At 36.8% G+C, this 26427-nt stretch overlaps 2 protein-coding genes across 9 annotated transcripts in view, besides 1 other annotated feature; one reads left to right on the plus strand and one right to left on the minus strand.

Annotated features, from left to right (window-relative positions):
• CENPP (centromere protein P) overlaps positions 1-26427 on the plus strand; it is a 295062-nt gene that overhangs the window by 52855 nt on the left and 215780 nt on the right. For 4 of the 6 annotated variants that reach the window (NM_001286969.1, NM_001012267.3, XM_011518689.2 and 1 more), the window contains one exon: positions 1441-1537. In NM_001286969.1, the coding sequence (NP_001273898.1) occupies positions 1441-1537 (97 nt within the window). Of the gene's footprint in view, positions 1-1440; positions 1857-26427 lie in introns of those variants that run through there. The other 2 variants (XM_047423391.1, XM_047423392.1) reach the window with 1 other exon arrangement.
• On the minus strand, positions 4946-26377 carry OGN (osteoglycin). Of its 3 annotated transcripts, none has more exons than NM_014057.5 (7): positions 26174-26256; positions 24912-25160; positions 22770-22863; positions 14764-14922; positions 11532-11734; positions 7879-7974; positions 4946-7468 (listed from the first exon to the last, which is right to left on the minus strand). In NM_014057.5, exons 2-7 carry the CDS (start codon positions 25083-25085, stop codon positions 7298-7300), a joined length of 897 nt encoding a protein of 298 aa, NP_054776.1. In that variant the 5' UTR covers positions 25086-25160; positions 26174-26256; the 3' UTR covers positions 4946-7297. The 3 variants fall into 3 exon arrangements, with proteins under 3 accessions (NP_054776.1, NP_148935.1, NP_077727.3); NM_033014.4 differs by having other exon boundaries at positions 24912-25442; NM_024416.4 differs by having other exon boundaries at positions 4949-7468; positions 24912-25079; positions 26174-26377.
• Positions 10381-10550: an enhancer, noted in NCBI's record as "experimental_109638 CRE fragment used in MPRA reporter constructs". NCBI's record gives its function as "activates a minimal promoter by MPRAs in K562 erythroleukemia cells, with activity observed for the non-introgressed 9:95151070 variant allele {active_cell/tissue: K562}" and the evidence as "EXISTENCE:reporter gene assay evidence [ECO:0000049][PMID:34662402]".

Consider the following 26427-nt stretch of genomic DNA (forward strand, 5'->3'; position numbering starts at 1 on the left):
TGATCTCCGTTGGTTAGAGGGAATGGTCTTTCCTGGGGCCTTTTGGGTTATTGTTGTTGTTAATGTACCCTTTGGTAATTCTGGGTTGCAGTTTGCTCCTGTGTACAGACTGGGATATACAGGAGGCAAAAATAAATCCTAAGGAATTCTTTTCCAGGTCCTCCCTTGATTCCTGAAGACTCTACCTGTCCTGCTTTCTTCATTCCACATTTCAGAGTTTCTGATGTTTGCTTTATGTGCTGTGTTCATGGTTTTAAATTATAGTTAACGGAAGCATTGGGGTGGAATATGCTTACTCTATCATTACTGGTACAGGAACTCAACTCCCGCAATCATTTATCAAATGAGTGATTAAATGATACATGGTTCTTGCCTTCAAGTTACTTGTGGTGTATGTGGCTTACATTATTAACATAGATGTACTATTAAGAGAATTAAGACTCATTCCTGTGAGAGTTCTCCTAGGCAAAGGAGTGAGATTATTTCTAGCTGTTAGGGAATAGGATACGTGGTGTGGTGGTGTGGTAATTGTTCTGACAATGGTTCTCTGTCACCAACTGGATGTCCTGCAGCTCAGTTCAGTTCTCACACTAACAGACCCCACAAGTTATAGGCAGAGGTCTCCACCAGGAGTGCCTCCACTTCACACTCCAGCTGCAAGTATCAAGGTCCACCTGCAGTTAGGACCAACTGGCCATAAATTCTGGAGTTCCCACATATCTCTCAGGTTTAATAATTTGCTAGAACCGCTCACAGAACGTACTGAAAACACTATACTTACAATTAGCATTTTATTATGAAGGATACAACCCAGACACAGCCAAATGGAAGTAATGCATAGACGAAGGTCTGGGGGTTGGGGAGACAGAGATTCCTTGTGGAATCCAGACACATTATCCTCCCAGTACATCAGTGTATTCATCAACCAGGAAGTTCTGCTGTGCTCCTGGTTAGCCCTCAAATGATGTGTTTGGTGATGTGTTTGATGTGTTTTCCTGGTGAACAGCCTCCAGTCTGCAATACGTAGAAGCCACTATGAGACAACTCATTAGCATAACAAAGACACATCTATCACTCAGGAAGTTCCAAGGGTTTTAAAGCGCTGTGCCAGAAACTGGCACTTACATACTGTCTGTTCTTCATTATTCTTTATTATACTACAGTCATCAAATAAAATTTCAGGGAATGTGGCATTTGAGTGATTTAAATAATACGTAGACTTAAACGTTTGAAAATGGGGAAAGGGGTATTCTAGGCTGAGAAAGTAGCATTAGCAGTCATACCAGAGGAACACACACACACAAGTGCAAGAATTGATATGTAGAACTACTTCAAGTTTTTGGTTTTAGTGTAGGATACATGAAAAGGAAAAGAAATAAAGCTAGATTGGGTCTATCATTTAATGATATTTATTAATCAGAGAATCATTTATTCCTACAGAGCAGAAGAGAGAAAAGATCTGTTCATGTTTTTCCGAAGCCTGCATTTTTTTGTGGAGTGGTTTGAATATCGTAAGCGCACGTTTAAACATCTCAAGGTAAAGTCTGAAGTCTTTGAATTTAAACATATATGGAAAACAAAGCTGATATTAATTGAGAATTCATCCCTAACATCCTTTTCTTAAAAGCTTTCAAACAGTAGAAAATATTCTCATTGACTTTTGGAATTTGCAATTATTTGGAATAACTGGAGGAGGATTACTTCTGTACAAATCAGTGAACAATTTATGTTGTGGAATGTCTTGAAAGAAGTGTGGTTATATTCAAATTTATTTAAAATCCGCATTTTGGAAAAACATTCTTTCAAGAGTATTTGAAGTAAAACAACAAATGTTAATAAAGAATATCATCACAGCAGGCTTATCATGTAGTGGTATACTGCTAACTTCCTGAGCCAGACTCTGTGTTTTCAGCTTCTCAATTGTGCATTTCGAGTTTAAATACCAAAGCCTGATTCTTGCGAAGTAATGCTTCCTAAAGCCTGATATGGGTACTTTAAAGTACTTCCTTTTATTCCCTTTCTTTGTTTTCGGGCATAACTGAAATTAAGTTTGGTTGCATCGTAATACCTCAGGTTCTACTCATTTGGATAGCATCAAATTATTGACAGCATTAATCCACACAGCAACCAGTTCTGAAAGTCAACTTAAATAATATTTCAGGGTTCAGATTCTCTCAAAAGCCTAACCAGATCATGAATATTGTTTTTAGGACTTGTACTAACTCTCCTTTATTTGGGGTTCTATTGTTTCTTATTATTATTTATTCTATTTGGTTGAGCTAATAAAATCTGTCAGGCCTAGGATTTTTTTCCACAAAGAAACATGGGCAGTTCTGTACTATAGTACCTTGAGGTGTTCTCATGATTTTGTTATATTCGATCATAGGTAGTCTTAAAATGCCAGAAAAATTAAATATTTCTGCTTCACAAGTGTTATAATACAGTAATGACCAGGGAGTGTGCTGGCAGTTATGGTAATAGATGAATCACCTAATGTTGCTGTTTCCTTATGCATTTGAATGGGTGATGGAAAATGGGAGCACTAGTCTCCATTTCCAAAGCTGATTTGACTCTACGTGCTTTCCAGTCAGGTATGAAGTATAATTGGTGTATTTTTCTTATGGAGGGTAAAGAGCTTCTAGGAGCTGGTCTTTGCTAGTTATAAAATTACTAGGGTGGAAAAAACCTATCACATTGTCCTGTAACCGTCACCAATATCCACATTGTTTTGTAACCATCACCACTGTCCTTCTCCAGAAGTTTTTCATCATCCCAAACTGAAACATACCCATTAAACATTAACTCCTCATTCCTGCCTTCTCTTAGCACTTGCTACCACTGTTGTGTTTTCTGTTTCTATGAATTTGACTATTCTAGGTACCTCATATATGTGGAGTGTCTTTTCACTTAGCATAATGTCCTCAAAGTTTCTCCATGTCATAGCATGTGTCAGATTTCTTTTCTTTTTTTTTTTTTTTTGAGACAGGGTCTCACTCTGTCACCCAGGCTGGAGTCCAGTGGTGCAGTCACGGCTCATGGCAGCTTTGACTGTCCCTGGCTCAGGTGATCCTCCCACCTCAGCCTCCCAAGTAGCTGGGACTACAGGCACACGCCACCATGTCAGCTAATTTATGTATTTTTCGTAGAGATGCAGTTTCGCCGTGTTGCCCATGCTGGTCTTGAACTACTGGGCTCAAGCAATTGACCTATCTTGGCCTCCCAAGCCCAGTGCCCTCCCCCTGCCTTTTTATTAAGGCTGGATCATATTCCATTAAATGTATGTACATTTTGCTTATCCATTCATTTGCTGATGGTCACTGGTTGTTTTTACTTTTGGGCTATTGTGAATAATCCTGCTGTGAACATTAGTGTACTGATATCTGTTTGCACCTCTTTCAATTCTTTTAAGTGTAATGATATACCTGGAAATATAATTGCTGGATCATATGGTAATTCTATGTTTAATTATTTGAAGAACCGCATACTCTTTTCCACAGTGCTTGTACCATTTTACACCAGCAAAGCACGAGTACTTCAATTTCTCTACAACTACTTTAATACTTGTTATTTTCTGCTTTTTTTTTTTTTTTTGGCTATAGCCAACCTAATGGGTAGGAAGTGATATCTCACTGTGGTTTTGATTTACATCCTCCTAATGGTTAGTGATGTTAAATGTATTTTTATATGCTGGTTGGCCATTTGTATATCTTTGAGGAAATGTCTGTGCAAGTCCTTAGCCCATTTTTGAATTGGGTTGTTTTTTGTTGTTGAATTGTAGAGTTCTTTATATATTCTAGATATTAATTTCCTCTTAAATATATGATTTCAAAATACTTTCTCTGGGTTGTCTTTTGACTCTTGATAGTGTCCTTTGATGAGCAGAAATTTTTAATTTTTAAAATTTATTTTTATTTAATTTTTAATCGACTAATAGTAATTTTACATATTCATGGGGTACATAGTGGTGTTTCAATACATATAATGTATAGTGATCAGATCAGGGTAATTAGCATTTCCATCAGCTTAAACATTTATCATTTCTTTGTGTTGGGAACCGTCAGTATCTTCTAGCTATTTGAAACTATATATTATCGTTAATTATAGTCATCTTACAATGGTATAGAACTTATTCCTCCTATCTAGCTGTAATTTTGTATCCTTTAACAAATCTCTCCCAAAAGTTTTAAATTTTGATGGAGACCAGTTTATCTATTTTTTCTTTTTTACCTGTGTTTTTGGTGACAAATCCAAGTAATTCCGTGCCAAATTCAATGTCATAAAGGTTTTCCTCTATATTTTCTCTAAGAATTTTATAATTTAACCCTTAAGTTTAGGTCTTTTAGTTTGTTTTTAAATATTACATAAGGTAGGTGTCCAACTTCATTCTTTTGTATATGGATATCCAGTTTTCCCAGCACCATTGTTGAAGAGACTGGCGTTCTCCACTGAATGGTCTTTGTACTTTTGTTGAAAAGTATCTGACCCTATTTGGAAGGGTTTATTTCTGGGCTGTTTAATTTATTCTGTTGGTCTATATGTCTGTACTTACGCTAGTACCACACTGTTTTCCTTTTTTTTTTTTTTTTTTTTTTTTTAGACAGAGTCTTGCTCTGTCGCCTAGGCTAGAGTGCAGTGATGCGATCTTGGCTCACTGCAACCTCCGCCTCCTGGTCAAGCGATTCTCCTGCCTCAGCCTCCCAGTAGCTGGGATTACAGGCACCCGCCACCACACCCGGCTAATTTTTTGGAATTTTTAATAGAGACAGAGTTTAACCATGTTGGCCAGGCTGGTCTCGAACTCCTGACCTCAAGTAATCCACCCGCCTCAGCCTCACAAAGTGCTGGGATTACAGGTGTGAGCCATTGCGCCCAGCCACACACTGTTTTCATTACTGTATCTTTGTTGTAAATGTTGAAGTTAGGAAATGTGAGTCTTCTATCTTTATTCTTATTTTCAAGATTCTTCTCTTTATTTGGGGGTCTCTTGAAGTTCCATTTTATTTGTGTGAAAGCATCATTGAGATTTTGATGGCAACTGTGTTCAGTCTGCATATCATATTGGATAGTATTGTTGTCTTAACAACATTAAATCTTACCATCCATAAACACAAGACATCTTTCCATTTATGTATGTCTTTAGTTTTTTTCAGCAATGTTAGTAAAAAGTAAATCATTTAAAAATTTAAAGCCTCTAATTATTAGTGTCAAGAATGAAACATTATGAATATAATGGAGACAGCATATTTTTACTTTCTCTAATTATTTCGTCTGATATCTTCTGAATCTTGGTGGTATAATTTGTATTGTTTATTTTGTTTTATTTGTGATTTAAGGTTGTGTATATGAAGGTGTAAGGTATGCATGTTCATATATATCCTCTTATCTAGAAATCCCCAAATTATTTCTTTAATTCTGGAATTCATACCTTTTACCAATGTTCTTTCTCCCTTATCATTATCTTATCTAAAACTACTGACTTTTGAATTTTTTCTTAATTTGAGAGTTATTTGATGGTGTTTTGCTCCATAAGTTTTATCATAAAAATAATATAGGAATACATTATTTTTCTGAAAACTAGAAAGATGACAGTCATTCAAGATTATGATAGTTTAAAGATTCAATTTTTCCAAATAAAACAGAACCCTTCTATTTAGATGGATTTTATTTTGCAATATTTATTATATATTCAATTCAAATGTACTCACTATTGTGCTAGGCAATTGAAAGTAAAAAGTATAAAGCTGCATTTTGCGCTCTCAGTGAGGTTTAAGTCAGGGAAATGAGGCATGCACACAAAATAACGAGAAAGTAGTATAATAGCTGTGATCATTAGTTATCAAAATAAGTGAATGAGCTAATAATCATTGTTAGAATAATAATTGTGTTCTTAGATCTCAGATGCTTTAATGAAAAATGTTATCTTGAGGTCAACTTTGACAAATGGGGAGATAACTGAAAAACATCTGACATTCTAGGTAGGGAAAACAGAAGCAAATGCTTAAAAATGGGAATAAGTATGTATTCTGTACACAGAGACAACTTGATTTCAATACATACTTTATGGTGGAAATAATGTTTGTACTTTTACTTACACAGTCCGGACTCATGTTTCTAAAACACTGATAATTTTGTGTTTAACTTCAATGTAATGTGTAGTCTAATACTTTTAGTGGGGTACAAGTGAGAGGAATGTTATTTTAGAAACTTTACTCTGGCACCACTGAGTCATCATAAATTATTACTCTCAGATAGAAGATTTAATTCTTGCAGTTAGCCATGTCAGTTTATCATGAGTAATCAGAAAGTGTTACTCAGAAGCTTTATTGTGAATATTCAGTTTGTTACAGTGAACATGGATGTGTATGGGTGGGAAGGTAGTGTGCACTGGCACCACAGAATATTCTGTTTTCATCTTATGCTTGAACTAATTTATTGATGAGATTCTCATTTCTGTAGTATAAAAGGAAAATATTTTGCAGTTATCTCGTATTTGAAAGACTTTGCCATAGAGAACTTTATCAGAAATGGATGAACTTTTCATTATTTCTTATAAGCATATTGGTTTTGGCCTGCTTGAGTTTAAAACTTTTTTTGGTAGACTTAGAATGTTAATATTTAGATAAAGAAAATATTTTACTGAAGACATTACCAGAAAGTAAAATAACTTGAACATTTCTGTATTAGCTCTTTATCAGAGAATAACATTTATTTTATTTGGAAAGTTTTCCTAAATATGAGACTATCTGCTATTTCTCAGACTAAGTGAAAAATTTAATAAAATAGCTGCCTTGATAGGAGGAAAACAAAGTTCTTACTTTATAAGGAATAACGTATGAATCATAAAAGAAGAATGAGCGATCATGGGAAACATTTAGCTTTTCAAAGTTTTTGGAACATGTACCTTAAATGCTTTTGGGATCCAGTAAAGGCCAGGAAAGGCAAAGAGTTGAAAGTTTCTTGGATTTATCCTCGTACTTACATCATTAGTAATAGGAATAATGCATCTCAAATTTGGGCATTTATATAAAAACATGATTTTTAAATGGTAGTCTAGTATAAACTAGGATTTTGTAATGCTGTTTAAATATTTTCATATTACTTTGTTTCGAACGTAGACATTCAGTCTTACTTTTTACTTATTATATGTAAGATTTTGAACATCCTTGCTTAAAATATTAAATTCCTTCAAAATGAGATACAAGGTTAATATTAAACCAATACTTAAGTTCCTTTACTCATTGTTGAGACAGACTATTAGTGTAGGTGTACTTTCATTTATATGTTGTACCAATAGAGGTTAAAAGTATGACCCTATCGGTAATCTTTTTAAGCAAATAAAACTGTTTGGATGCTTTCCCAGGACGATTGGATTGCCCTCCAGGCGTATCTCTTCAATGCGGTCCCGGATGTAACTGGTGTCATTAGCCTTGCAGAATGTGTCATCTGTAATTGAAGCTATGTTGTTGAACTGAAAAAAAACGAGGAAAACATTGTTCAGAAATCTGAAATCAACCTTTCATATGCTATATAATGGGTAAAGGAAACCTAAGTCAGAGGTCTGAGTGCCCCCTCACTTCAAATCCTTGTGTCAAATTAATTAGGAAATACTCAAATGTACACCTGGAGACAAATACAATCAAGAGCAGACTTCACACGTACTGTGCTGGTCTACTTGTTATGCTCTGGATGGAATCTGGACTTCTGGGAAGAAAGTTCATGAGCCTAGTATTAATCTTTTTGATAGGCAGACATTTAGCTATCACGCTACTACAGTGATCTAACCAAAATTTGTATGTGAATAAGTGAGGTTCCCAATGAGTCACAAGATTTTGACTCATAGGTAATTAGAGTCAGATATTGTGAAAGGAACTATCATACCTGAAGATGAATTACACGTAGACTTTCTGGTAAATTAAGAGGCACGGATTCCAGGGCATTATGGTCCAAGTAGAGGAAGGTGAGGTTATTCAGTTTCTGTAAGGAAAATTTCATGTGAGTGTTATTGAGGTTCTGTACATTCTTTCACAGGATTCAAGCAATATATATGTGCATATGAGTATATGTCTATATATACAGACTTGCATATTGATATGAATACATCAATTATATCAATTGTTCGTATGGTAGTTTCTTGTTTGGGTTTTTTTTCTGACTTCACGTGTAGTGTATTTTGATCCTTTATGATGGCCAGTGGAGCTCTGCCGCATACCCCACACTTCTGTCCATTCATCTGATCTCTGAATATCCGGCTCTAATGCCAACTTCTGGTACTCTTTGTGTTTGTCTTGATAGGAACTAATGAGGTGAGTCCCTATGTGGGATTGAATTTTGACCCTGGTGCTGCCATAACCTCTCCTGTACCTCTGGAGTTTCCCATCTCAGTTCCACCAATTTCTAGCTAAGTGGTTACTTCTTAGAAATGTGTGTGCTTGTATGTTTTTAGTAGAGACGAGGTTTCACCATGTTGGCTGGTATGGTATCGATTTCCTGACCTCGTGATCTGCCCGCCTCAGCCTCCCAAAGTGCTGGGATTACAGGTGTGAGCCACCATGCCCGGCCTAAAAAAATACAAAAAATTAGACAGGCGTGGTGGTGGGCGCCTGTAGTCCCAGCTACTCGGGAGGCTGAGGCAGGAGAATGCTGTGAACCCAGGAGGCAGAGCTTGCAGTGAGCTGAGATCGCACCACTGTACTACAGCCTGGGCAACAGAGCGAGACTCTGTCTCAAAAAGAAAAAAAAAAAAAAAAAAAAAAGAAATGTGTGTGCTTAGCCGGGCATGGTGGCTCACGCCTGTAATCCCAGTACTTTGAGAGGTCAATGTGGGTGGATCACTTGAGGTCAGGAGTTCGAGACCAGCCTGGCCAACATGGTGAAACCCCATTTCTACTAAAAATACAAAAATTAACTGGTGTGGTAGCACATGCCTGTAATCCCAGCTACTAGGGAGCCTGAGTGAGGCAGGAGAATTGCTTGAACCCAGGGGGTGGAGGTTGCAGTGAGCCGAGATTGTGCCACTGCACTCCAGCCTGGGCCACAGAACGAGACTCCATCTCAAGAAAAAAAAAAAAAAATGTGTTCTTAGCAAGATGTTTCCCAAAGCAGTTTAGCAAACAGTTAGCTTGATGCAGGTTTTTTCCCTAAGGGCTTAATGTTGGATTATTCTTCATGATCAGTAACCCATTATTGTGTATAATTGTAATTTCCCCTGACATTACTCTTTTACCTTATCTTCAATATGTATCCTGTGGTAGATTTTGCTAATTCTTTTCTGTGTTGCTATTTTAATACTTTCTTAAGCACCCTACCCTTCCACCATGTGGGCATCAAGCTCTTGTCTTCCCAGTGAGTCTCATTTACATGAGGTAGAATAACCTAATTCTACTAGTGACTGTAGCAGCTTAGGACATTAAACAAAACTATAGGGCAGCTGAATTTATTATTTTCTTTTCTTTTTTTTTAGAGATGGAGTCTCACTCTGTTGCCCAGGCTGTAGTGCAGTGTCATGATCTGAGCTCACTGCAACCTCCGCCTCCCAGGTTAAAGCAATTCTCCTGCCTCAGCCTCCTGAGTAGCTGGGACGACAGGTGCCCACCACCACGCCCAGCTAATTTTTTGTATTTCAGTAGAGACAGGGTTTCACCATGTTGCCCAGGCTGGTCTCGAACTCTTGAGCTCAGGCAATCTGCCCGCCTTGGCCTCCCAAAGTGCTAGGATTACAGGCATGAGCCACCGTGCCTGGCCAAGTTTATTATTTTCATACCAACTTGTCATAAATCCCTTCTGTAATTCCTGTCTAAACCCCAGAATATTCAAATGTTCTTTTTGTGAAATGTTGATCAGCTCCTTTTTTTTTGGAGACTGAATCTTGCTCTGTGGCCCAGGCTGGAGTGCAGTGGTACAATCTCAGCAGTTCACTGCAACTTCTGCCTCCCAGGTTCAAGCAATTCTTGTGCCTCAGCCTCCTGAGTAGCTGGGACTACAGGCGCCCACCACCACGCCTAGCTAATTTTTGTATTTTTAGTGGAGACAGAGTTTCACCATGTTGGCCAGGCTGGTCCTGACCTCCTGACCTCAAGTGATCCGCCTGCCTCATCCTCCTAAAGTGCTGGGATTATAGGCGTGAGCCACTGAACCTGTCCTGATCAACTTTTATAGGTCTTTAACATGTCTGTTATTCAAAGAGTGACCAACTCAAATTAATATTTTCAAATTACAACTTTAAAACAAAAAAAAAAAGGCCAGGCACGGTGGCTTACGCCTGTAATCCTAGCACTTTGGGAGGCCAAAGTGGGCGGATCACCTGAGGTCAGGAGTTCAAGACCAGCCTGGCCAACACCCATCTCTACTAAAAGTGTAGAAATTAGCCGGGCGTGGTGGTGTGTGCCTGTAGTCCCAGCCACTTGGGAGGCTGAGGCAGGAGAATTGCTCAAACCTGGGAGGCGGAGGTTGCAGTAAGCCAAGATCACGCCACTGCACTCCAGCCTGGGTGACAGAGCAAGACTCCATCTCAAAAAAAAAAAAAAAAAAGGTGTATCTGCTTTTAAAAAGTCCTCTAAGAGTCCCTTAACTTCTGAGTTCCTTATAAGAAACATCAGATGAGCTCTGATGTAACTTTAAAATGTCCCTTAAAGTTGAATAAAGATACCTTAATTGTAATGAAAAATGAAAAAATGGACTATTTGTACACTTTCTAACAGATTGTACATTTTTTGACAGAATTTACCTGTGTGTGATTATCATAAACTTTATGATAATGAATATTTGATAGTTTCTGAAGTTACCTTTAGAAGCAAGAAACCTTGCCTTTTGAATGAGATTATGTCTGTTACCAGCAATGGCATGGTCATCATTTTATCTGGGGAATGATTACATCAGAGCTATGGAAATCCTGGACTAAAGTGATTACTCCTGTAGGTCATGCATTTTGAGACAAATTGTCTACCTAAACCGAAGTAGATTACTTTCCCTTTTTCCTACATAATATTTGCTTGAATTGTTAAGAAATGTATTTAATTCTTACTACATATAAAATTTTATATTACATGCTCTCATGAAATTCAAAGGAAAATCTCCCTATAGAATTTCACAGTCTAATATCTTTAAATATTAAAAGTTAAATTCAGTATTTACTTTTGGATCTTTATTTTTTTCTGGTGTTTATAATTTGCTAACATTGTAAGGAAAAAGAAACACAGGAAATATCCCATTTTGAGCTTTCGTAGACTGTAAGTGTCATGAGAGGGCCAACCATGTCTGTCTAAATAAATATTTGCTGTATGAACAAGTGAAAAAATGAGAAACAAAATAGTCCCATGAAATAAAATAAAGGTTATGTATTTTAACTGAGATATGGGTATAAGCTAGGCTGAATGAGCCTAATAGGATGGTTATTTATTATGTAAATAATGTCTTCATTTATTAAATCAAAATAGTTTTTAAGTGTAATCAAAATACAATTCTAGACCAAAGTTTCTCTTTTATCTATCATATCATCACTCATACTATGCTTAGTTTTACTATAAAATACTTACTTTGAATGCATTTGCTTTGATTCCCCTACTCTTGATTTTGTTGTATTTTGCATTAAATAAAGTGAGCTTGGGAGGAAGAACTGGAAGTTTTAGTAGTTGATTTTCAGCAAGTGAAAGTTCTTCTAACAGAGAAAGTTTTGAAAAAGTACCATCTTCTATATCTTCTATCAAATTTCCTGTAAAATCGAGTCTTCTTAAGTTAGCTAGAGGGAAAAAAATATAAAAAACAACTACGTAAGTAAAATTCTTATTGTATGGACTGAAGAAAAGCATTTGTTTAACAGATCACTCAAGCATCTTTCATTTTTAGTGCCTGGTAGACTGTTTACAATTCATAGCCCAGTAAAGTTTTGTGGAATGATCACTGAACACCTCTTTGTGCCTGAAATTGATTCCCTTTCTGACTGGAGTCCTAGAATCTCAGGTTTGAAAGTGATCTTAAAGTTAATCGAGTCTTTTCATCTTTCTCTGTTCAAATTCCTTGGGATGGTCAGGCAGTTTGAAAGAAATTCTTGTTGCAAATCATGGAAAGGAAGCATTACATTTGATTGGAATCATGTAATTTTTTTTATTTTTTTGCTGGCATGTTGCGTTGTGATTCTGAGTATGTTATCTTAATCTTAATCTCTCTATGCCTTATCGCTTAACAACAACAAAGACAAAGATGTTCCCTGATTTGTTAAAGTGACACAGATTGAGAGAGAAATTCAGTGTGTGTGTGTGTGTGTGTGTGTGCGCGCGCGCGTACTTGCGTGTGCATCACGTATATCTGGGATAATTAGGAAATCAATTGTTTCTTATTCACAGGAATCATGTTCTATAAAATTACCACAAGTGTTGAATTTGTAAATACTGAACCATTATTCCTAGGAGAAATACAGGGTTATGTTCCTGTGAGCCTCTGGCCACACATTTCCATCAACTATTAGTATATAACTTTATGTGTTTTTGCTTAAGGACACTTGGCTGAGTATATATTGTTGAATCATTAATATTGCACTATAACTCATGCCTGAACAAACCTTATCTAACATATTTTCCCTGTAGGCATATCACAGCCTTTTTGTGCTTGGGGATGTTAGACGTCACTTCAGCACCATGTGTTGGGTCATGTTAAACAGCAAAATCAGGCCAGGTGTGGTGGCTTATGCCTGTAATCCTAGCACTTTGGGAGGCCAAGGTGGGCAGATCACTTGAGGTCAGGAGTTCGAGACCAGCCTGGCCAACACAGCGCAACCTCATCTCTATTAAAATTATAATAGGCCAGGCGCGGTGGCTCACACCTGTAATCCCAGCACTTTGGGAGGCCAAGGTGGGCGGATCATGAGGTCAGGAGATCGAGACCATCCTGGCTAACACGGTGAAACCCCATCTCTACTAAAAATACCAAAAAAAAAAAAAAAATTAGCCAGGCGTGGTGGCGAGCACTTGTAGTCCCAGCTACTCGGGAAGCTGAGGCAGGAGAATGGCATGAACCTGGGAGGCGGAGCTAGCAGTGAGCCGAGATGGTGCCACTGCACTCCAGCCTGGGCAACAGAGTAAGACTCCATCTCAAAAAATAAATAAATTAAATTAAATTAAATTACAATAAAACAAGTAACCAGGTGTGGTGGCACATGCCTGTAGTCTCAGCTACTTGCGAGACTGAGGGACAAGAATCCCTTGAACCCAGGAGGCAGAGGCTGCAGTGAGCTGAGATCACACCACTGCACTTCAGCCTGGGCAACAGAGCGAGACCCTGTCTCAAACAAAAAAACCCCCCAAAAAACAAAAATCAATAAACAGCAAAATCATAAACACAAAGCACAAAAATGTGAAAAACATGTCGTTAAATAGACTGTGAACAGGGCATTTATTTACAGTATGAGAACTGGAACCAGAAGACAGTGTTACCTTGTTCAACCTCAGATGGGAATGTGCATGTCAAGTAATTCAAATTTTTTGCCACTCTGAGCATGTCTGAGAAAGCCCATGAAAGCACAATGTGTATTAATTTTGGGGTTATAAATAAATTTTAGCAAGTGGGTATTCACAAATATGGAATCCACAAATAACAAGGATCAACTATACTTCAATCCACATTTGGGAGCTATCAGTGGCAGCATGAACCTGGTTATGGTTAGTCTCATAAATGTGTAGCGGGGCTAGTATGCATTTCTCGGTGTGATTTTTTTCAGAACTCTTGACAATATTAGGAGTCTAGAAAACTGACAAGAAATTAGTGATCTAGGACTGGGATTTGGTACTGCAGAAATGGAGGATTCTGGTGTGCTTATGGCAACACTAACTGAGTTAAGGTTTGCTAGAAGTTCAAGATTGATAATGACCTGGTAAGGAATTAAATACCACTGTTCTCAACAGTATTTCCATATTAGAATCATCCAAGGAGTTTGTTTGTTTTTAATGATGTTGCTTGGGCCCTACCCCAGATCTGAATTACAACCCCTGGGAAGTAGGACCTAGTATCAGTATTTAAAAAATACTTCCCTGCCGGGCATGGTGGCTCACGCCTGTATTCCCAGCACTTTGGGAGGCCGAGGCGGGCGGATCACAAGGTCAGGAGTTCCAGACCAGCCTGGCCAACATGGTGAAACCCCATCTCTACTAAAAATACAAATATTAGCCAGGTGTGGTGGCACACACCTCAGCTACGTGAGAGGCTGAGACAGGAGAGCCACTTAAACCTGGGAGACAGAGGTTGCAGTGAGCCAAGATCACGCCACTCTACTCCAGCCTGGGCAACAGAGCAAGACTCCATGTCGGGTTGGGGGGAGGGGGGAGAAAAAAAAAACACTTCCCAAGATATTTTTAATATGCAGCCAGGTTTAAGAGCCATTAGTTAAAGTAAGAAAAAGCACTTTCTGTGTTTTTATAGTCCAGGTAGAAAATAAAACATTGTGGTTGGAGAAGCATCCCAGTTATATTGGTGTTGCTCAGTGTCTGAAGCAAGGGATCTTGAAGTATTGGAGTTGAGAAGATATAGTTGCCCATATGTTAGATGGGCTGTCATCATAGACAGTGAAGTCACCAGTAAAGAAAGATCACAGGATCTGTCTAAGTGGAAAGATGATTCACCAACAAATGAATGGACTTTTGTGAAACATGTTAGATATTTATGTACTTCAAGTGACAAACCTGAATGTGATAGGCAGCAACTATATAGAAACTTGTGTTTATATGAGTTAAATACTAATACGAGTTAATACTAATATCATATTTCAGCTTAACTTACGTATGTCTGCAAAATCTTTGGCAGTCAGCTTTTTAATTTTGTTGAATCGTGCGTAAAGATAGGCTGATTCCTTTGGTAAGGGTGGTACAGCATCAATGTCAACTTCTTCACAGTATACAGAGCCACTTAAACAAACACACAGCAGACACGTGGGCATTTCTAAATTGGGAATAAAATCATAAAAATATGAACAATCGTTTGAAAATATTTCTCCTCTAGTAGTAAAATTATTGCTATTATGAATGCTATTACTAATTTGAAGAGATGTTTTACAGAATCATAAGAAAGATAGTCATGGTAACTCGTTACCTATATTGTGCTTGATAATTCACCAGAATATTGTTTGAGAATCTCTTTTTATTTTGTTTTACTGGTGATTGCTTAAATGCTGAATTGATTGACAGTTACATTTCCTTATTTGAAAACCAAAAAAATTTACAAAGCAGGAGTTAAGGTAAACATGAGCTTGACTTATTAAGTTTAATGTGTGAGAAACATATTTCAGATTGGTGACAGTAGCTAGACTTTAGTAACCACTAGTTAAGTAAGGAAGCCATTAACTTGAAAATTAGAGTAATCGTAGGCACTGTTTGGATCCTTTAGCACCCCAAGTCATTTATTACATTTACTTGTCATACCTCTTGGAACATTCCTTAGTCTTTGTTTTTTATACCTTTTCCTGTTTTTGAAAAGTGTAGAGCTTTTTTTTTTGTTTAGTTTTCTTTTTCAGGGCATTTATTCTGCAGAATGCCTTTCAGTTGGCAGAGGTTTCTCATTTTTGGCAGGAGTACCATGGATCGTCAGTGCTGTGTGTCCAAAAGCACATGATATCTGTTTATCCCATTCCTGATAATATCTTTGGTCACTTGGTTCAACTAGTATTTGCCATGTTTCTCACTGAGTAAAGTTAATATTTTTCACTTCATAACAAGTAATTCTGGAGAAGTACTTTGAGAATCTAAATGTCTGGTGTGACATTGTACTTTCATATACTAGTTTTAGCATCCATTGATGATTCTTACCCGAATCATTTGTGACTAACCAAATAGTGATTTTCTAATTCCATCATTCCTTCTACATTTGTTAGTTGGCACTCTCTTCTTATTTTTATATCAATATGAACTTGTTTTATATATTTTGATATATTTTATTATTTTATTTACTTACTTATTTTTGAGACAGAGTCTTGCCCTGTTGCTCATGCTGGAGTGTGGTGGTGTGATCTTGGCTCATTGCAACCTCCACCTCCCCATTTCAAGCGATTCTTCTGCCTCAGCCTCCTGAGTAGCTGGGATTACTGGCGTATGCCACCACACATGGCTATTTTTTTTTTTTTTTTGAATTTTTAGTATAGACAAGGTTTCACCATGTTGGCCAGGCTGGTCTCGAACATGACCTCAAGTGATCTGCCTGCCTCGGTCTCCCAAAGTGCCGGGATTACAGACGTGAGCCATCACACCTGACCTATTTTGATATATTTTAAATATATCAAATAAACATGTCAAATTTTATTTTTTGAATTTTTTTTCTTTTTTTTGAGATGAAGTCTCGCTTCGTCACCCAGGTTGGAGTGCAGTGGTGTGATCTCGGCTCACTGCAGTCTCCGCCTCCCGGGTTCAAGCAATTCTCCTGCCTCAGCCTCCCAAGTATCCGGGATTACAGGCATGTGCCACCATGTCCGGCTAATTTTTTTGTATTTTTAGTAGAGACTGGGTTTCACCATGTTGGCCAGGCTGCTTTCGAACTCCTGACCTCAGGTGATCTGCCCGCCTCAGCCTCCCAAAGTGCTAGGATTACAGGTGTGAGCCACCACGCCCGGCCTATTTTTTGAAATTTTAATTGATATTTTCATATCAATATGAATTGTGTCCCATAAGTCATAATCTGTGTTTATTTTAATAGTCAAATTGTCACAGATTAGGCCCTTTCAAGCTTTTTTTTCCTGCTACAGCTTTTTGTGGTTAGCTGACTTACAATTAATTGCGTGTATTTAAATCGTACAACATATACGATTTTTACATATGTACACCCCCATGAAACGTTCACTACAAGTGAGTTAATTAACATACCTGTCACTCCAAAAAGTTTTCTCCTGCCCTTTGGTAATCTCTCCCTCCCACTCTTGTCCTCGAGCAATGACTGACCTGCTTTTGGTCAGTATACATTAGTTTGCATTTAGGAGAATTTTATATTAAAAGAATCATGGAGTATCTACTTCCTTTTCTGGCTTCTTTTACTCAGCATTATTATTTTGATTTTCAATCTTTATCAGTAGTTCATTCTTCTTTATTACTCAGTAGTATTCAATTGTCTCAATATATACAATTTACATGGTCATTTCATATGGACATTGGGTTGTTTCCAGGTTTTCACTATTTCAAAGAAATTTATGTGTAAGTTTGTGTGGACTTAATGCTTTCATTTCTCTTGGGTAAGTACCTAAGGAGTGGAATGGCTGGGTCTTTTTATAAATGTATGTTTTATCTTTTGAAGAAAGTGTCAAACTATTTTCCAAAGGACTGTGCCATTTTACATTCCTACCAGCAGCATATGAGAGTTCCAGCTGCTCCACATCCTTGCCAACATTTGGTATGGTCAGTCTTTTTAATTTTAGCAATTGAAATGTAGGGCATGTTATAGTATCTCATTGTGTTTTAATTTGTATTCTCTGATAACTAATGATGTTAGCATCTTTTCATGTGCTTGTTTGGCATCCATATATTTGATGACTTGTCTTTTTTTTTTTCCCTCTTACTAGTTTTCCTTTTGGAAATGAAACATTTTAAATTTTAATGAAGAACAGTTGGTTCCTTGATAATTCATGGTTTCTGTGTTGTATTTAAGTAATGTTTGCCGACCACCAAGATTTGACACTTTGTTTTCTTCTAGAAGTTGTATAGTTTAAGATCTTTACCTTTAGGTGTGGGGTATACTTTGGGCTAATTTTTATATATGGTGCCAGGAAGGGTTAATTCTTTTTTGAAAAATTTTCCTACAGTTGTCTGGTTCTTTCAGCACCGTTTTTTAAAAGGATTATTCTTTCCCCATTGAATTGTATTGTCACATTGTCAAGAACTAGTTGGTTACTTCATGTTAGCCTGTTTCTGGATTTTATTTTGTTCTGGTGACCCACTTTAACATTTTTATGCCAATACTGCAGTGTCTTGATTCCTGTACCTTTGTAACAGTCTTGTTAGTATAAATCCTGCAACTTTGTTCTTCTTCAATGTTGTTAGACTATTCTAGGTCCTTTATATTTTTATATATATTTTAGAATCAGCTTGTTAATTAAACAAAAAAAAAACCTATTAGGATTTTGATTGGGATTGTGTTGAATCTCTAAATTTGGGGAAAACTGACATCTTAATGATATTGAATCTTCTAGACCTCGAACATAATACATTTCTCCTTATATATAGGTCTTCTTTATTTTCTCTTAGCAGCGTTATTTAGATTTCAGTGTACAGGCCTTACATACCTTTATTTTTTTTTTTTTGAGACAAGATCTCATGCTGTCACTCAGGGTGGGGTACAGTCGCATGATCATGGTTCACTGCAAACCTCGACCTCCTGGGCTCAAGCGATCCTCCTGCCTCAGCCTCTCAAGTAACTGGGACTACAGGTTTGTGCCACCACACCTGGCTTTTTCTTGGTTAAATTTTTTGTAGAGACATGGTGTCACTATGTTGCCCAAGCTGGTCTCAAACTCCTGAGGTCAAGCAGTCCTCTTGCCTCGGCCTTCCCATAAACATCTTTTATATCTATTTCTTTTATATATTTTGATGGATTTAAAAACATTTTGTCAGGAGACTGGGTGCAATGGCTCATATATGTAATCTTGGCACTTTTAGAGGCTGAGGCAGGTGGATCATTTGAGTCTAGGAGTTTGAGACCAACCTGGGCAACATGATGAAACCTCATCTCTACAAAAAAATACAAAAATTAGCCAGGTGTGGTGGCACGTTCCTGTAGTCCCAGCTACTTGGGAGGCTGAGGCAGGAGGATTGCTGGAGCCCAGGAGGTCAAGACTGCAGTGAGCCATGATCATGCCACTATACTCCAGCATGGGTAATAGAGCGAGACCCTGTCTAAAAAAACAAACAAACAAACAAAAAAACACCATTATTCTTTGAGAACTTCCTTATTTCCTAACATAGCAAGATGTCCCAAACTAACCTTGCATTTTTCCTGCCCCAACCCTGAAATCAGCTATCTCTTCAGAAAGCACTGGGGGTTTTTTTGGTTTGTTCATTTGTTTTTAAGACAGAGTCTCGCCCTGTCACCCAGGCTGGAGTGCAGTGGTGCCATCTCGTCTCACTGCAGCTCTGCCTCCTGAGTCCAAGTGATGCTCCCACCTCAGCCTCCCGAGTAGCTGGGATTACAGACATGTGCCACCATGCCCAGCTAATTTTTTTTGTATTTTTAGTAGAGACGGGGTTTCACCATGTTGGCCAGGCTTGTCTCAAATTCCTAACTTCAGGTGGTCCACCCGCCTTGGCCTCCCAGAGTGCTGATATTACAGGCATGAGCCACCACACCCGGCCAGCATTGGTTTCTTTTAGTGGAGAATGGTATTAGAAACCAAGATGCAGGTGCTGGGTGTGCTCATTGCCATTGAGATCACGTTGCTTCTAGGCTCTTTCAGCAGAGAGAGCTAGGAAATAAATGTGTGTGTTTATTTGTCTCTTTCTCCACAGATAATACACATACATGCAACATATACGGATATAAACATATACAATATACATGCATATGTATACCATATACTCATGTATACATACACACACATAGAGATAAACAGAGAGAAACATTTCTATATTTCTGTATCTCTGTATATACAAACCCTGAGTTAATAGTAGTATCTTCTATTCCAAACCAACTCCACAGTGTTCTTTCTAGCCTTCCACCTTTCCGTATTTGTAATGTTTCTCTGACAGTGCGGAACCTGGCTCTCATTATTTACGTATATTTACTTAGTTCTGGCACACATATTAAGTAGTTCCAGTATTGCTAACTCATAACACTGTGCATAACAAACCTACTCACTGGAACTTCATATTTGTTTATAGTTCTTTTTTGTCCTTAGCCTGAAGGTATATAGGAAAATGCTGTGTTTAACAGTTACTTAGAGTTTTTTCTTCCTTTGCTGAGTTATTAATTTGAAGCACAATCAAGTTTATGTTTTTATGTTTGTATTCCAATTTGGGTTCTTTTTACCTTATTCTTGTTGATTTCATTTATATACGTATTTGGTTTTTTGACTATACGAAACAGCATTGTTCTAAAAATTAAATCTACATTAAAAAGTATATACGCAGAGAACTGCCATCCCCTCTCCCCCAATTTCTTTTTAGCCTGTATTTATTTTCACAGAAACAAGCAGATACATATATATTTTCTTATATCCTTTTCTTTCTTACATGAAAGACAGCATATTATAGATATTCTTTTGCACTTTGTTTTTTTTTTCCACATAGTGTATCCTGGAAATCACTCCATGTTAGTTCTTAGAGATCTTCCTCATTCATTTTTACAACTGCATAGTATTCTCTTCTGTTGGATTTACCATTGTTTATTCAACTACTCTTCAGTGTTTGGGCAGTTAAATTATTTCTGATATTTTGCAATTGCATGCAATGCTTTAGTGATTTTGCATTTGTATTTTATTTTGGAGTATATCATCAAGGTAAATTTCTCAAAGTTGGCCGGGAGTGGTGGCTCACGCCTGTAATACCAGCACTTTGGGAGGCTGAGGCACTTGAGGTCAGGAGTTCAAGACCAGCCTGACCAACATGGTGAAACCTGTCTCTACTAAAAATACAATAAATTAGCCTGGCGTGGTGGCGCGTGCCTGTAATCCCAGCTACTCGGAGGCTGAAGCAGGAGAATTGCTTGAGCCCAAATGGCGGAGGTTGCAGTGAGCCAAGATTGTACTGCTGCACACCAGTCTGAGAGCGAGACTCTGTCTCAAAAAAAAAAAAAAATCCTCAAAGTTGGTTCTTATGTCAAAAAGTAAATGCATTTTTTATTTTGTTAGATATTGCCAAGTTCCTGTCCAAAAGCATTGTGTTGATTTGCCTTCCTGCTGCCGTGTATGAGTGTCTTACCCCATAGCCCTTGCTCATGGAATATATTAATGTGTTGTCATACTTCAATTTTTTTCAATCAGATAGGTTAAAAATGGTATCTCAATGTAATTTTAATTTATATGTCTCTGTGTGAGATTGAACACTTATTTGGGTTAAATCATTTAAATCATCTTGTGAACTGTCATTTTTCCAGTGGATTTTTGGTTAATCTCTTTTCCTCGATTTTTAAGAGTGCTTTATAAATTAGAGTTACTAGATCTTTATTTTTAGTTATATTATCTGTGAGCTCTTTATCTAGTGATATTATTTATCTGTAGTATATGTTACAAATATTTTTCCCAGTTTTTAGTTGCCTTCGACTTTACCACAGGTATTTTTAGGGTCAAATTTATTGTTCTGTTCTATTGTTGTCTCTGGATTTTGAGGCACCCTGCACCCAGATTCTTTTCTAGTACTTGTACGATTTCATTTTATACATTCAGATTGCTAATCTATTTGGAGTTTATTTTTTGTGTAAGGTATGGACCTAAATGTACACCTCTTCAAATGGCTGTTTCTCCCAGCACCATTTTTTAAAAAGACCATTTTTGCTTCAGTGATTTAGGTTGGTACCTTTAGTATGTACTGAATTTTCATGTGTATTTTTGTCTGTTTCTGGATTTTCTATTCTATTTCATTGATCTTTTTGTCTATTCATATACCAGTATCGCACTTTTTAAAGTATAGAGTTTTATAATATATTTTAATGTGTAGTACATCTGATTCCTACATATACTTGTTACTGTTTACTGTTTCCCTTGTTATTTGTTACATGTTGTTCCATATGAATTCTAGAATCTGGTTTTCCAGCTTTATAAAAAAATTTATTGGTAATTTTAGTTGGATTGTTTTAAATTTATAAATTTAGAAAGAACTGACATCTTTATGATTTTGAGTCATTCCATCCAAGAACAAGGGATGTCTTTTGTTTTTTGTTTTTGTTTTTGTTTTTTTTGAGACAGAGTCTTGCTCTGCCGCCTAGGCTGGAGTACAATGGCACGACCTCGGCTCACCGCAACCTCCACCTCCCAGGTTCAAGCAATTCTCTGCCTCAGCTTCCCGAGTAGCTGGGATTACAGGCACCTGCCACCACGCCTGGCTAATTTTTTGTATTTTTAGTAGAGACAGGGTTTCACCATCTTGACCAGGCTGGTCTTGAACTCCTGACCTCGTGATCCACCCGCCTCAGCCTCCCAAAGTACTGGGATTACAGGCGTGAGCCACCACGCCCAGCCTGGGATGTCTTTAAATTTATTCAAATCTATTTTTACTATCATACTTCTCGCTTTTTAAGCTTTATTTTCTGTTATGGTTCATTTTCATTTTATTTTAGAAATATAGAAATTAATATGTGGTTTTTGTCATGTTTTCATGTGAAATAATGTTCTGTGATAGAGTAAGAGTAAGCCAAGTACACAGGAATTATTAAGTAGGACTTGTAATTTGTTATTTCATGACAAGTTTTCTATTTTAATTGAAATGTATGTGTAATTATTGATGTATATGTGTGTTTCTGTTCTGTAAGTTTCTTAAAGGCAATAATTATATTTACCGTATACTGAGGCTGCACATTGTATTTTGCAAATAATCCGTGTTTAAGTATTTCTCGAATAGATTTTATATGGATGGAAACCACACTTTGTGGAGGCTAAGCTTGCCTAAGCTTTGGTTGTTCTCACAAGTTCTTGCTCCACATTTCTCACTCATAATGTGGGATGGCAAATGGTGTGCACTCCCAGTTTGAGTTTATCATTGGAAATAAAATTCCACTGTTTGTATTTACTGTATCTTGAGTCAGTTTTTGATTACCACAAGGAATAAAGTCCATTATAGCTATTTTTAAAAGATCCATTTGAAAAATATTTAGATGATACTTACCATCATTTTCTTTCTTGGGAGGTAATGGTGTTATTGCCTCATCTTTTTGTAATTGAAGACTTTTCTCATTGGGTATTATCACAGTTTCTTTTTCCTATTGGAAAAATAAAAGTTTGTTACCTAGCTTCATTAAGTCTGTGTTTCTCTGTAAAATGAAGGGATCACAGACACCTTCTCGTAGTTACAATTAGTGGCATTTCCTTTGTGCTCCATTAGGCTTTCATACATATTTCCATTTTATCATCTATTAAATTACAATAAGTATTTTTTAGCTTGTTTTTATTCTAGACTATGAGCTCCTTGAGTAAAAGAACTGGGTGTTTTTATTTTTATATCGCCAGTAGCTACACTCAGTGCTTAATAAATGTTGAACATCCTGAAATTCCAAATGAAAGCTAGGTGAGAATTCCCTGAATTGGAATGAAAGTTTTTCTGAGGTGAAACTGTTCCTCAGGGGTCTTGTCTGAACTGAGTTTCTCATTCAGATTCTACCATTTTGAGTAAGACTAGAGCTCCAGCCATGTCACAAGTATAAACTACCAATTAAGGTCTTTAGGTCTCTTCTTGGGGTGACCCTTTAATTACCTATATCCCTCCATTAAGCCCTGGCTCTTGGATCCCTTTTATTCCAGCTTACCTTACCTACCCTGCTTGGGCCACTGGGGTAGGCCATTAATTCTGGGGAAATTGGAGTAGATACAATTTAGATCCTGTCTTTCCTGTTCTTGGAGAGTACGTTTTCTGCCATTAGATTACAGTGTATTATGTGGTGTCCTATTCTTTCTGTCCTTTGTAAGCATGTTCCATTTTAGTCTCGGTCTTGACTCCTGACTCTGCCCTTCACCTTCATTCTCCCATCTGTGTGGTGGTTGAACTTCCTCCCTCTACTCTGTGTTTGCACATCAAGTCCTGTTGAATTCTACTCCACTCCACAAATATCTTAGACCCTGCATTTATATTAAGATAGAGAAACTTCTAAAGCCCTGTAAAGAGAAGAAGCAGAGAGAAAAATAATCTCTAAACTCTTTAGGGATCAGGGAATCTTAATAGATTCAAATCATCCAAGTGAGCCAATAGCCTATGTTATGATGGGACTTTTTTTTCTTTAACTTGAAGCTATAATTAGTAATACCTATCCTTTGTGTCTTAGTGATGGGCAAAAATAATGCTATCATATTAAAAGCATTAACTGAAAGAAAGAAACTGTGGTGTTAACATTTGCTCATTGTGTACCCCTGCAAAAAAGAAAAGAGAAAGTAGCAATTATAACTGGTCAATCTTATAAGTCTTTATCCTCCAATTTATAGTGGAGAAGAACTTCTGAAACAATCAGTATTGTTATATATTTGGCTGAATTTCTCATTTTCCAGTGTGTATGTGTATGTGTCATACATAGTGGGCAACAGATACTTAAGTGCTGTATTAACTTTTTCCTTACCCAGCATTCATTTCTGTGTGCCAAGAAAACCACAAGTAATTAGTTTGCCCATAAAGGTGGGGAATGAATGATGTGGTATAACGTCACCCTTGCAGTGTTAACTCAAAGACAGTTACAGTTACTTGGTACCAATTGATAGAGGGTCTAAACTGTTAAAATTGATTTAAAAAGAAAGTCCTATATTGACTAGGTTTTCAGTTTTTGGTACTGTATGTAGATGGCATATATAAATTATTGTGGAATGCTATTGATATCAAAATAACCAGTACTCTTCTATGTATTTTCTTCAAATTGTTTTCTATAATAATAACCTTAAGCTGATAATTCATCTTTATTTCTCCAAATACACATTTCCGCTAATTTATTTTTGAGGCAACACAACATTGCAAGTATAGGGCATTGTGTAACATTACTTAATATATAAATTGCAACTGGTGAGGGATCATCTTAAAGTCTAGTTTTCTTTAAGTTTTATTTTTTGGTTACTATAGATACTGTTTGGTTACCATAGATACCATTTATTAATTTGGAAAGCATACATACTCTAAAAATACAATCTTAGGGACAATTATTATGAATTCGTTTGAATCATTTAAAGTGATTTTCCCTTCCCCTTACCTTATCAGACACATTCAGGAAAAGCAAAAACATGCATTTAAATGGGCAGTATTTTAGAAGCTAAATTTAGAATAGAAATAAAGTACCTTAATATTTTTTCCATCCAGGTATTTATCCTCATAATCTTGGCTAAATATGGATTCTTCAAAATTATCTGTTCCATAATCATAGATAATGCGTGAGTCCTGCTGGGTTGGTGGTGCTGGCTTTATCAGAGGCACAAGCAGTAACAGGAGAAGTGTAGACTGCAGAGTCTTCATTTTAGCAAAAATCAAGGTGACTGGAAGTTAATAAACTAGTGGCCTGCTGACTGTGGGACAAAACTCTCTTTTTCCCTGGAAATAAAAATTCAGACCATCGAAGCAATATTTAAAAGCTTAGAGGATGTTTTGGCAGGGTGTGCGCAGTAAGGGCCAGAGAACAGTATTTAACCCTTAGTGATCTTTAATTAGATGCTAGCAGTTTTTATGTATCAGTGAACATTCTGAAAAATAGTTTTGGAAAATAGTTTTACTTCTCTATCAGAAATTCAAGAAAGATTGATAATTTTAAGTTTCTTAATAATTAAGTGCCTTCAGCAGACATACTAATATTTAATTGAAATATTCTTAGGATACCTGTAGTATAAATAGTTAAAATAAAGTCCCAAGATCCTGTCTCATGTGAGTTAAAAATATCATATTTCCACTTAGCTACTTTATAAGAACTCTTGATTTATATTGGTATGAACAGAAACAAGTTCCAAGAAAAGTTTTAAAACTTAAATTTAACATTATGAAAAGTAGTCATTAACACCTTTAGGTGGTACAGAATATAGGAAAAGCCATACGTTTTTAATTTTCTTAGTTTTGTAATTTTAATAGGTGATCATAATTTTTAGTTAATAGTATTGTATTTTTAATTTAAGCTAAGAAAACTGAAAGAATAGTATTGCAGGCTAGAGGAAATACCGAACTTTAATCAAAGAACTTTGAGGAATGTAATAGAAAGGATTCCTTTAGGCTCATCAATGGATTTTCTCTGGTGGGTACACATTTCAGACTTTTTCTTAAGTAACTTCAAACAGAATCACTCAAGAGTTGCTGATGCTGCATTATAGATGCCAGTTTGTCAAAAATCCAGAGGTTGAAAATGAAGAAGATAATGGATTTGTGACTTCTGCAGCACCCTATTCTTGCCTGCGTGGATGTTAAATTTATGCGATGATATACATAAGTACTTCTTAAAAATTAATTGAGGTAACTGAAACTTAAACCAGAGATGGCCTTTACATTTATTAAGACTATTAGATGAGTCAGTCGCACTTTAACAAACAATATTTAAAATAATATATGAAAAGTAAGCCTACCGTTGTAGCTGTTTTGAAGTTTTTTGTGGTTTTCCTCAATAGATGTTCATGTCTGTGCATTAGCCCCAAGTGGGAGGGTGAATGAGAAAAGCTATGTCTTGATTTCAAACTGCTGAGTAAAATTTCAGGGCCCAGCAGCTTTAAGAACAGTTTCCATGTGGTAGAGATCTTTGCCAGCATTCTTTCTCTAGGGTGAAATGCAGTGTGTTGTACTAGAGAACTGTGCTTAAGTTATTTGTTGTAACTGCTGCACT

Source organism: Homo sapiens, chromosome 9 (genome assembly GCF_000001405.40).
Source record: "Homo sapiens chromosome 9, GRCh38.p14 Primary Assembly".
NCBI lineage: Eukaryota > Metazoa > Chordata > Mammalia > Primates > Hominidae > Homo > Homo sapiens.

Coding starts and splice junctions, on each gene's coding strand:
- OGN (NM_024416.4), bottom strand. CDS start 26,353: ATGCTGGCAAAGATCTCTACCACATGGAAACTGTTCTTAAAGCTGCTG. Junction 25,080..26,173: donor ACTTCAAAACAGCTACAACG/GTAGGCTTACTT, acceptor GCTAAAATGAAG/ACTCTGCAGTCTACACTTCT. Junction 22,864..24,911: donor TGGATGGAAAAAATATTAAG/GTACTTTATTTC, acceptor TTTTTCCAATAG/GAAAAAGAAACTGTGATAAT.